Source organism: Homo sapiens, chromosome 15 (genome assembly GCF_000001405.40).
Source record: "Homo sapiens chromosome 15, GRCh38.p14 Primary Assembly".
Lineage (NCBI taxonomy): Eukaryota > Metazoa > Chordata > Mammalia > Primates > Hominidae > Homo > Homo sapiens.
The window spans coordinates 73,829,556-73,842,422 of NC_000015.10; positions in this window are offsets into that span (position 1 = coordinate 73,829,556).

The window sequence follows — 12,867 nt, forward strand, 5'->3', positions numbered from 1 at the left end:
GGCAGAACTGGGAGATACTCTTAGCAGTCAGTCCACACATCCCCCCACCTACAGCCCCATGGCTAATAAGCCATGTGTTTCTTCCATTTTATCCCATTTAATCCCGATCCCCAGCAGAGCCTAATGAGGCAGATGTTGGTGCCCATTATGCAATGATAATGAGGGGGCAAGGACTCCCTGGGATACCACTGACAATGACTTCCCTTAGAGGGTACTAAGGCAGCTATGGGAAGATGCTTTTGAGGATCAGGTGGGGAGTGTGCAGGGAGGCCCAGTCTCAGGAAGACGGGGCAGTCCCTCAGTGCCTGTGTTGGTCCCTAGGACTCCTGGGGAGGGCTGCACCACTCACCAAAGCAACACTGAGAGCCACAGAATGCTAATCAGACTCAGACATCAGGATCTCAGACAATAACTGCGATACTGAAAATACACAAAATAACCAGGCAGCCTTTGTAATTAACTTCCGCTCCCTTCCAGCAGTCATTTGGAGTTAATGGTTTCTTAATTCAGTGCTCATTTGGTGACTTTAATTTCCAATTAATTTTGCCGATTTTCCTCCGAGGTGCTCATGGTGTGATAGAAAATTCCTATATGGTGAAATCCCCACCACAGGGACCTGGAGTGGGTGGGGAAGAAAGGGGCTAGGGTCAAGCTGCCACCAGAAGACCAGACTCCTGCCTGAGTGTCAGGAATCAGCATCTCCTGGGTTCAGGAGGTCCTTGGGGAGTTCAGGGGTCCATGAGAGACTCCTCCCCTAAGAGGGGGCTGGTGAGAGCTGATAAAGTGGTGCAGGGGTTGAAGGTACCCCTGAATTTTTCTAGCTCTGGAGAGTTTTGAGTCATAGTGGATGGGGCAGGAGAGGAAGCCCAGCTCTCCTGGAAGCATCAGGGAAGGGGTCAGGACCAAGCACAGTGCCCTCCCTTCCATCAAGCAGAGGCATTTAAGAGGTCTTGGTCCAGATCCCCTTTGCTGGGCCAATGCCCTCATTGCCCAGCTGCTGCAGATGTCAGCTGCTATCATCTCACAGCCTCCCCCTTCTCTAGAGTTGCCTTTGGCCAGTGAGATTCACCTCTTCTGGAAAGTTACATTACCCATGGCTCGGGACATCCTGTACACAAGGACTGAGTGGTATAGACAGAAGGCTGCATCCCTTCTCCTTAATCTCCCTCCCTTTTGCCTCAAGGTGAGTCTGCCACTGTGATGAGCTAGTGTTCCAGAGTGGTGCAGCCAGACCCAGATGAGGCCACATCCTTGCTTAAGTCCTTCCCTCCCTTTCTGCTGCCAGAACTCCCTCAGTAAATCCCATGCACCTGAATCTCTGTCTTGGGCTTAGCTTCTGGGGAACCCAAATGACACCAATAGTTTATATATTAAACTCTTGTCCTCCTCTTGCAGTGTGCCAGAGGCTGTTCTAAGTCCTTTACTCAAAGAAATCCATGTCATCCTCATAGCAACCCTACAAGCTAAGCATTGTTAGTGTCCCTATTTTGAAATAAGAAAACAGACAGCAAAAGATTAAGGAATTTTCCCAGGGGCAGCATAGACTGTAAGTGCAGAACAGGAACTTGAACCCGGGGACTCTAGTTCCAGACTCTGTGCCCTTAACCATTATGCTGCCCAAGATGGAACCACTGACCTCCAGCAACTTCCCTAAAGGCATGGATGATGTAATTCAAGAGCCTGAGCCACTAAAGTGTGAGGGAGAGCTTTTCTCCAGGTCCTTTTTCAGAAGGACTGAGGAACAGGGGGGTCTGGAATCCTGGAGCTCTGGCCCCATGATAACCAAGCACTCTTTTTTTGAGACAGAGTCTCACTCTGTCGCCCAGGCTGGAATGAAGTGGTGCAATCTCAGCTCACTGCAACCTCCGCCCCCAGGGTTCAAGCAATTCTCCTGCCTCAGCCTCTTGAGTAGTTGGGATTATAGGTGCCTGCCACCATGGCCAGCTAATTTTGTATTTTTTGATTTTTTTAGTAGAGATGGGGTTTTGCCATGTTGGCCAGGCTGGTCTCAAACTCCTGACTTCAGGTGATCCACTTGCCTCAGCCTCCCACAGTGCTACGATTACAGGCGTGAGCCACTGCACCGGGCCTAGAGCACTCTTTTAGGCAAACTTTCCCCTCTGGGGATGCTCCTGAAGATCAATAGCATCGTGCAACAGACAAGTGCTGGTGAGTGAAAGTCAGACATCAGATTCTAGTGCTCACTGTGTCTCTGACTCTCTTTGTGACTTGGGATGAGTCATTTTCCACCGGTGGGCCCTCGCTTCTCCAGCTCTACTATGTGAATGAGAGTTAGTGACAAAGACTTGAAGAGCCCCAGCTATAATGTTTTGGCTTTATGAAGTGGAGACACTTTATGAAGTGGTCCTTCCTAGGGGATCCCCCATTAGAGGATGAGAACAGATGTCCATGGAAGGCAGAGGAGCTACTTTCCATGACCTGTGGGCATCAATGGCTCTGTTCCCAAAGGATTGAGGAGGGGATCCACAGGGCCACAGAAGAACGTAAGTCACAGTGACTGCTCAGTGGCCATATATGGAACATTCATTCATCAGCAAGCACTTATAGGGTGCCTACCTCATGCCAGGGACCCTGCACATGTAACTCATGTTTCCTTAAGCTAGGGAACAATGAGGTACAATCATAACAATTGCCATCAATTCATTGACCCTTTCCCTACTTACCATTGAAGGACCAACCCCATGTAAAGTCACCCCACTTCCACACACACAGTGATTTTTGGAATTTCCATGGGTATCTCCATTGTACACAGGGATAAATATTTTCTGTTATTAAATGGGGGGTGTGCTGTGTCCTTGCTCTCCCTTCCTGAGACCCTCACAGTGATGCTCACTGTCTGTGAAGTCATAGGAGGGGACCCCGCTGCTGAAGCCTTTTATGAGAAAGCCATATTCCCTCTGCTCCCAAAGCTGCCAGTCCACAAGTGCCATGAAGTGTGATGGTTTCTCTGACCTTTATTGCTCCTCAAAGGAAGAGGAGAACCCCCTCAGTCTCCTGAAGCAGGGCTAGGCCAGGGGGACGGCAGTGAGGGAGGGTGAACAGGACTGGTATAAATATTGCTTCTTTTCTTCTCCCCCATCCTGACTTCCTCCTTCTCCAAACCTTAGGGATACCATGTCCAGGGGCAGCTTCCTCCCACAGACCAGGGAGGCAGGGAGGTGCAGGGCAGCATTCCATCTGCCTTCTTCCCCTCTGTGAGTCCCACCTACCTCACCTGCCCCCAAATCCCAATCCTCAGAAGTGTCCACAGCACAGCTGCTGTCAGATCAAAACCTCTGCTGGACAGCTCCGCTGAGGCCCTTGTTGGGGAACTGGAGCTGTCATGGCTATGTCTGCCACAGGTCCCAATCCACAGCTGGTAGGAGCTGCAAAGTCCAGCCAGCCAGGACTGGTTTTTTATTTTTCTAATGAAAAATAAAAACAGACACCTTTGCAGGGAAGAAGACCAACCTTACTCTTAGAGCCAGGGCATTATGCCACAAAGTGGCCTTGTGCAACCCCAGGGCTTGGCTGTGTGACTGGAAGAGTCAGCCCTGACGGAAGCTTCCTTGCTATGCTTTCAGCTTACCTCCACTCTTCATCTTACCCAAGCACAGCTATGACCATGCCCCTCTCCGGTCAAAAGCCTTCAGAGGCCTTCAGACATCTGCTGGGTGAAATCTGAATGGGCTTCTTGGCATCAAAGGGCTGCCATACTCTGGTTCTAAGCCATCTTCACTCCTATCACAGATTACAGCCACACCTAGAAACCCACTCTTTCCCATACTTGCCCCTTGCTGCCAATCCTCAGGACCTTTGCACAACATTTGTTCTGTGTGGAGCACTCCACACTTCCCCATCTCCACCTGTAGAAACTCACTCTTTCCCTGGGGGACCTGGGATTCAAGGAGGACCATGGCCATGGGGGTCTGACACCACATCTGCCAATGCTCTCCTCTCTAATTTTCTCTCTCCTGTCTCCCTGTGCCCTCATTCCCTCCGCCACTCCTTTGGCTTCATTTTCCTGGATTCCATGAACACAATTGAATTATAGTCATTAGGTTGGAAGGGACGCGAGAGCTCCATGTTCTCTCACCTCCACCTAGATCAGTGATTCTCAAACTTTGGGAGAAATCAAATCAGCTGGATAGCTTGTTGAAACATAGATTGCTGGACCCCACCCTCAGAATTTCTGATTTGAGCGGCCTAGAGTGGAGTCCAAGAATGTGTATTTCTAACAAGCTATCAGGTAATGCCAATGCTGTTGGTCCAAGGAGCACACTCTAGGAACTGCTGACCTGGGTTTGGGCTCAGAAATTAACCTTGTATCTCTGTTTCCCCCGAAACAAAGGGTCCAATGCCAGCACACTTACTCTCTTGGTTTGGTACCCACTGATGGTTGTTGTGGCTCTTTTATCTATCTATTTTTTTTTTTTTTTTTTGACAGAGTCTTGCTTTTCGCCCAGCCTGGAGTGCAGTGGTGCAATCTTGGCTCAGTGCAACCTCCGCCTCCTGGGCTCAATTGATCCTCCCATCTCAGCCTGCCATGTAGCTGGAACCACAGGCTGTGTGCCACCATGCCTGCCTAATTTTTGTATTTTTTGTAGAGACGGGGTTTCTCCATGTTGGCCAGTCTGGTCTCAAACTCCTGACCTCAAGTGATCTGCCCGCCTTGGCCTCCCAAAGTGCTGGGATTACAGGTATGAACCACTGCTCCCGGGTGGATGTGGTTCTTGATAGGAAGGTAGGGCTTCCAGGCACCTGCCACTCAGAGCCCTGGGGAAAGTCTTGGGTTTCATTATTACAATAAATTCACTGACAAGAACACAAAATTCTTTGCAGGGAAAATAATCATAGTGATTCATAAAGAAACATACTGTAACAACATCAAGAGTGGTAATAATAGTAATAACATGATTGTAATATAATGTCATCTTCCCTAATGTGCTAAATCCAGATTGGTCTGAGCAATATAAAAGAATTACTGACATACACAAATGCTCAGAAAGTCTAGCTCAGACGTATTTGGGGCTATTTAGGTGATGGCAATGGTGATGATGACTGTAATAACAAACCACATTTGTACACAGCTTTAGTGTTTCTAAAGCACTTTTTACCAGTTTTATTTTAGCTGCCACTCTGGAAAGTAAGCGAGGTGGGTAAAGCTTCTTTGGTTCATACATGAGGCTCCCATGTGTTCCTCCTTTCAGGCCTCATTCAACAAACATGTGTTGTGTGCAGGTTAGGTACAGGACAGGGTCTGGGATAGGGTTGTAGACAAAATGCAAATTAAATATAAATTCAGGGTTGGGTGCAGTCACTCACGTGTATAATCCCAGCATTTTGGGAGGCCAAGGTGGGAGGAGGGTTGGAGTTCAAGATCAGCCTGGGCAACATAGCAAGACCCCCATCTCTACGAAGAGAAATTTTATTTTCATTGATTTTTAGTTTTTTCTGGCACTTAGTTCTGCTTCACACAAAGAAATTTTAAAAAATAAATAAACTCAATGCAGATTCAAATATCCATTAAAATGAAATTTGAATTTCAGAGAAACAACAAATCATTTTGTAGTATAACCATGTCAGAAATATTGCATGGGACATACTTAAACTAAAATTGTCTGTTGTTCTTCTGAAATTCACATTTAAGTGGGTGTGCTGTGTTTTTATTTGCTAAGTGTGTGGTACCCTACTGGGGAAGGAAGGAGGGGATAAAAAGAATAAGAAATGTTTCTTGCCCTCAGAACAATCTCACAGTCTGGTTGGACATCACAGAGCTCAAATGATTCCAACCCATGTAGTCAGTGGTCTGGTAGCAGCGTTTCTCAACACGATGCGCACAGGTGGCACCTGGGGATCTTGTGAAACTGCATACTCTGATTCCGCAGGTCTGGGGTGGAGCCTGAGAGTCTGCATTTCCTACAAGTACCCAGGTGGGGTTGACGATGCTAGTCCCTGACCACACTCTGAATAGGGACAGTGTAGCAAGGAGCAAAGAGGCTGTGGGGGCTTAGAGGAGTTGCTCAGCCCACCTTTGGGGGTCAGGGAAAAGCTTCTTGGAGAAGGTGATAGGTAACTGGTGGGTCTTGGCTGGTAAACACTTGGGGAGGGAGGTGGAGAAAGTGTCCCAGGAGGAGGAAGCACGATTTTTGGAGTCTCAGAGGTGTGAGAAACTACTGCAAATCTGGGAAGGGTGTGGGTGAGTGTGGATGGAGGCTAGATTTGGGGTTGCAAGCAGTGCTGGAGTCTGGGCATCAGAAATTCATCAGACAGATGGGGTCCTTGTCATCACAGACCCCACCAAGCCCATCAAGTGGCAGAGCCAGGGCCATGGATAGACCAGCACCATCCAGTGTGGCCGGGGATGAATTGGAACCAATCACTGGAGTGGGGGAGCCCAGGGAGGGAGCCATGTACTCTGCCTGGGAGTTGGAGAAGGTGTCCTCCTGCGCAGCAGGGTATTTGGGGACAGGGTCTTGGAGGTGAAAGGGACTTTTTTTTTTTTCAAGGGCTGAGAGGAAGAGAGGTGAATGTCTTACAAGAGGGGCCAAAATGGAGATGAAAAAGTTTGCTATGTTTCGGAAGAGTGGCTTCCTTGAGGACAGCAACCATGTCGAGTCCTTCTTCTCTGGATTCCCGGTGCTCAGCATGAGGCTTTGTCAGCATGGGGCAGAAGGCTAGATCAGCTGGCAAGGTAGCCCAGAGCCTCTACTCCAAGCCCTCGTTCATTTTGCTTTATCTCTCCACACCATGGTCAGAACATCAGTGGCGGAGGAACTTGTCATACTGGCAGACTTGGATTCACGGCTGGGGTTCTGGAATCTGTAGTAGTTAAACGGTCTTGGAGTACTTCAGAGTTAGCAGAGCTGGGGTAGTCACTCTCATAAGGCTTGTTCTCATCTTCTTAGGGTTTATCACAGCACGCAGGACAGATTGCTAGTGTTCTTCTGCGTCCGTTCTCTCCCTCTTCCTTGGCTAAATAGATTGCCTGCATTATAGATGGGTACGTGGCATCTCAGAACAAAATCTACATTTCCTAGCTTCCCTCGGTGTGGTCATGGAACCAGGTTCTGGCCAGTAGGGTGTGGTAGGTGTCACTTGAGAATCAGTCTGGGTGTAGCACAGGAAGAAAATACTATTCTAGGTATTCCAGACAGAAAGAGATTTAATAGAGGGATCTGGTTGCTTACAAATTCCTTGGCAGGACTGGAAGCATGAAGGTTGTGGGATGTTGTTAGCGTTTCCAGTCACATCACAGGAGCTACAAACCAGAGGTCAGGAAGCTCCGGGAAACTGCTGCCAATGTCATAGCCACCCCCAGCTGCAATGAGGCCAGACAGTGGACTGGAGGATCCCAGGGGCCAGAGGCTGCAGGCCAGGTGCTTCTGCCGCCTAAGGCAGAACAGCTTCAGCCATCTTTCTCCCTTGCAAATAGCATGTGAGTAAAGCTCATTGGCTGGAACTAGTGACATCCAGAATCCTGGTGGCAGGAGTCTGACAAACACAGTACTGAGGCTTCCAGGCTCTGTAATACAGTGAAAGCATAGCAGGCGGGGAGGGGGAGCAGGCTGAATGCTACCTGGTGATATTCACTATCACTCCTTCTTGCCAGCGGGGGTAGGATGCAGTGGCAAGGACAACTTCCTAGGATGGCAGAGAATCATGGTAGCAGTCACAGAAATGCCACCCAGGCTGGACCTTTGCATAGATAAGAAATAAACTTCTACCTTGTTGAAGTCACCGAGCAGCTGAGCCCATGTCCTGTCACACCGCTATTAAGTGTAAAATGAGGTCTGAGAAGTGTTAATACTCTAGCGTGCATCGTGTTGATGTTACTGTAGTTTCAATTGAACCTGCCCATCAGGAGTGCAGCAATAAAAACTCATTGGCAGACAAAGCAATATTCAGGGCTGTGTGTAGCTGTTGCCAAATGAGAGCCATTGAGTCTATGCTGAGGGAAGCTGGAGAGAGCTCAGAGGATACAGGGGTGTTGGAAGCCTTCCTGGAGGAGGCATTGCTGGAGATGGAGAGGAGAAAAGCTCTCCAGTGGAGGCCATTTTTCTCTTCTCTCTCCAGAGCTGTATCAGCCAGGGAGCTGCCCCACCCTGCCTCCAACCTTGGCCTCTCCTGGTCAAGGCTGTGAAAGGCCAGGAGGAGGGTGGCAGGGTGCCTGCGGTTAACCCCGGGAGCAGACTCTTAAGCTGGGGCAGGATAGAGACCAGAAGGATGGCCTGGGAGATGGGGAGGAAAGGAGAGGTTCAGCATTGCTCCAGAGGGAGAGGCCCGTGACTCTGAGACAGTTCTCAGCTGTATCTACAAGACTCTGAGGACAAAGATGGGGACAGACACATTCAAGGAATGGCCTCAAGGTCATGAAGTGGTGCCTGATTCTGCCTTGCCCCCTGTCTCGTCTGCCTTGCAGCTCCTCCCCAGGAAGAAACACTATTCACCCTTCATACAGGGGGCCTCAAGTAGGCCTGTGACCTGGGGAACAAGGGCCGTCCTATGAACCCATGACAGGCACAGGGCTAGGGATGCACCCAACCAGCTATTCTCTCTTCACCCATTTCTGTGAGAAGTAAGTGATTAGGATGTGGGGATAGACCCAAACTGGCCAGGGTCAGGGCCGAGTTTCAATTTATGACCAAGGTTTAGACTGTTCAGGATGAGAGAGTGGTCCAGGGAAGGATCAGAGATTAGACAGCCACAGGGACCAACCTGTGGCCACAGCTTTGTCTGTGCCAGAACCATGGTTCAGTCTAGTACCGGAGTCTGTTTTTTTTTTTTTTTTTTTTGAGACAGTATTTCACTTTGTCACCCAGGCTGGAGTACAGTAGCATGATCATGACTCACTGCAGCCTCCACTTCCCAAGGTGCAAGCAATCCTCCCTCCTCAGCCTCCTGAGTAGCTGGGACCACAGGCATGTGCCACCATGCCCAGCTGATTTTTAAAAATTTTTTGTAGTGATGGGTCTCACTATGTGGCCCAGGCTGAAGGATTCACTTTTCATGGGGAAAGAGTGTTTAACACAGTGGATGAATTCAATTTCATTAGTTCCCTTGGTAATAAACCAAAATGAAAGGCTATTATAAGTGTGATTTATTCCCTTATATCATAGTTAACCTTCATTTCACTTCCGGGGGCCCTCTTTACTCTTCCCCAAAACTTGTGGTTTAGACCTTCTGACACTTTGGTAGAAGAGGATATACAGACACAGAGGAGGAAAACGAGCTGCCTGAATTCTCATGCAACTTCAGAAAGGGCTAGAGCCAGGCGAGAAGCCAGTTGAGCAGGTGCCCAGCACAGGGCAGCCTGGTGGACTCACAGCTTCCTGCAGTGTTTTGGAGACAAGCCCCAGGTCACCCTGAAACCCATGGGCAGGCAGTGGACAGGCAGGCCGACAGCCGGCTGGAGGAGTTGGCAGCAGGGAAGTCCCGGATCAGAGCCTTGGGCCACAGCCAACGCTGTCTAGTTGGGGCAGAGGATCGGGGTGGCGATTTATTCAGCCTGCTCTACAGACAGCCCCAGGGCAGGAGCCAGCAATTTTCCAGTCCTGAGTGATGGAGCCGGGAACCACTGAGTGGCCTGGAAGGGCAGGGACCCCCCCAGGTCCTCGTGGGCATGCTCAGCTGCTGAAGGAAATATGAAGTGATGGTAAGTGACAAAATTGAAAATGTAATTAAGACAGATGGAACTAACTGGCGGGGATGATAAAAGCCATTCCCCAGGCTCTGGGATTTAAAGTGAGGTCACAGGATGACCCTGTCCTGGCCACACATCTGGCAAAGAGGAGGCGAGGGAATGAGCTTGAGGACAGGAGCCAAGCTCTGTGGAGGACACTGAGCAAACTGGGCTTTTGCCGCACTGAAAGAGCTAGGTCAGATACAGGATGAACTTCCTGGAGAGGAGGGTGGTTAAACATTGGCATAAGTGAGACATCTTCTCCTTTTCCCAAGGACATATATATCCCTCCTGCGCAGACTTGGACACAGGAACCTGGGCAACCTGACCTTGCCAAGATCTGTGGGAATGTGAAATAGCTCCATTACCAAATGAGAAGGCTGCACAGGTGGAGGTGGGTGGCATTTGGGAAGAGAACAAAGGGAAGTGGGCTCAATGTGTAGCAAGCCCCAGACAGCTTCCTGCTGGCCAGAGCTGGGAGAGTAGGAGTCAGCCAGGCACCATGCAGGTGGGTATCACAGAGGCAGCAGCACTGAAGGAGAAGAAAGTGTCCCTTCGAGACCTCCTCACGAAGAGTTGCACCAGGAGTGAGGGGGCATGGTGGCCACTCCCTGAATCCACAGAAGCAGCAGCCAGGCAGCCTGACCCCAGGTTCTGCAAGGCCCTGATGGAGGGAAACCAAGGGCCCACAGGAGAGCCTGTGTAGACCCTCACAGGGGGTAGGATGGCTGGGATCTGTGGCAAGATTCATGCAAGAATCAGGGAGCTCAGCACCGACATCCGGGGCAGCCTTGCTTTGCCAACCACAATGGAGAGAGCCAGTTTAGCTTCACCATGATGGATTGCACTGGCCAGCTTTATCAGCCCCCATTCTTTCAATATCCTGTGCCAGTTCCCCATGACAGGCAATGGGTGGGCCAAGAAAGTGGCTTCTTTATATTCAGCGAGCTCCCAGATTGGCGGGAAAGAAGAAACTCAGGCTCCCATTCAAGGCGGTCATTCACTCCCCATTTGTTAAGCACCTGCTCTGTGCTAAACAATAGCAGGGCAGAGGCTCACTGTGATGCTTAAAGCAATACTTTAAGAAGTTTACAGTTTTTGTATGAATTAAAATATACGAAGCAGTCAGATATGAAGGAAATACTTAGGTATTCATTCAAGATGATGTGTGGCTCACATGGTAAGGGCATAGGAGCTGAGGGAAGGAAGAATTTGGTGCAGGCTGGAGAAGTCAGTGCAGGATTCTTAGAGGAGGCAGAGTTTGAGCCTAGCCTTTGCAGGATGAAGAAGAGTAGCTTAAAAGATTAAAGAGGAGCATGCATCTTGGGTGGGTTTAATGCACAAGTAAATATGTAGAGGTGAGAAAGAGTATTCAGGAAGAATTTTCTGAACTTTAGGATAGAACTAAGGTTGGGCTGGAAAATAGATCCTTGGGTGATCCCAGCAGATCCAAGGCCACTCTGGGGTCAAACATTTCTCTATGAGAAGAGCTTGTGCCCGGGGATGACTTACTGTCCCCAAGTGGACAGAACCATCAGCAGGAGGTCAGTCCCAGATCTGAATGGCCAAGGGCTTAGGCTTCCCCCGACTCTTGGGTCTGTGGAACAGCTGTCCTAAACCCCACCTCCCCAAGCCACAGAAAATGAAGCCAGATTGGAATAAAGGATGCCCTTCTGCTATGCTGATGGCGAGGGATCAATGTCATTCTGCACCCTTCCCCCACCACGGCCAAGAGGTGGCAAGACGCGTGCAATGGGCAAGGAGACCTGTGCTCCATGTACTGTCCTTCCACCAGGAGCTGGACCACGGGCTCCTCTGGCTCTGAGGCTGATCGTGTGGTCCTTCCTTGCCATGGAAAAAGCAATGGAGACAGGTTGGTCTTGCCATCTGCGGACCATCTTTCATTATAGGACATGTCTTTGTTATGGATCCTGAGCATAGAACAGGCCAGCATTATCTGAGAGATGGGAGAGATGCTCCGTCACTTCAAGCACACTATCCATCTATCTGTCATGGGCCCAGCATTTATGCCTGCAGCCAGGACACTGGAATAGCACATCAGGATTTATGGGGGGCATTAAGTCATAATTTATGTCACTTTCTCTCCCTTTTCAAGACAGTCTTTCTGAAACATCTCTGTCTCCCTGGCTCACCATTCCTAATGACCCAAGATGTGTGTTTCTTCCCGCCTACCTGCAGCCTGCTTTTGGGGGTGCTTTCTCTGTTACCTCCCCAATCCCATGGGTCAGCCTCTTGCTCTTAGCAAGTCCCTGCCCCTGACCTGGGAGAAAGGATCTCCAGAAGTGTAAACTAGCTGATAAGGAGGAGACAGGCCCCTATCCTGGTTTGCTGTTGGATCCCCTGAGGATATGGGAGTTCCAGAGGCGCCCCAAATCCCTCACCCGTGATGGCTGTAGGGGAGCAAACAGCTATTCCAAGTCCCAGGTGTGTAGCCATGGAGAAATCACTTTCTTCACTCGGGTCTTTCACCTTCTCCTCCACAAACAAAGGGGCTCACAGATGACCTGTACAACTTCTCCCCCCTCTAAAATGGAGGAACCACATGTCCTAGACACCTTCGCTCATTCAGAGCTAAGCCTGGCAAAGGGCAGGCATTCTACTGTTCCAGAGACAAGTCAGAGCCAACTACGGAGGCTGGGCTGTGAAGTGAATGCTCCTAGTCACCCTCACGCTGGAGGGATCCCAGTGGGAGCTGTTCCTTTGCAGGGGGTGCTGGGGTGCCACTGCTGGCTTTACCTCCCACCTTTTCCTCGGCTCTCTTATTTCATTCCTTTCCCTTCCTTCCTCCTTTCCTCATCCTCTCTTTCCCCTCTCTCTTCTTTCTCATCTGACTTATGTCTGCCTGGAACTTTGCCACCCTGCTTTACCACCAACTGCTTACTTCAAACCACATTTTGCCGGACCAGAAATAGTGCCAGCATTGACCCCGACCTGAGCCAAGATTTGAATCGAAAGCCCCAGTCCTTGAACTCTGACTGTTATCGGCTGATTTGTGTCCTCTCAAATTCACATGTGAAGCCCTAACCCCCGGTACCTCGAATGTGACTGTATTCGGAGATAGGATCTTTAAAGAGGTCATTAACGTGGACTGAGGCTATTAGGGTCGGCCTTAATCTAGTCTGACTGGTGTCCTTATAAGAGGAAATTTGGACTCTCAGAGACAC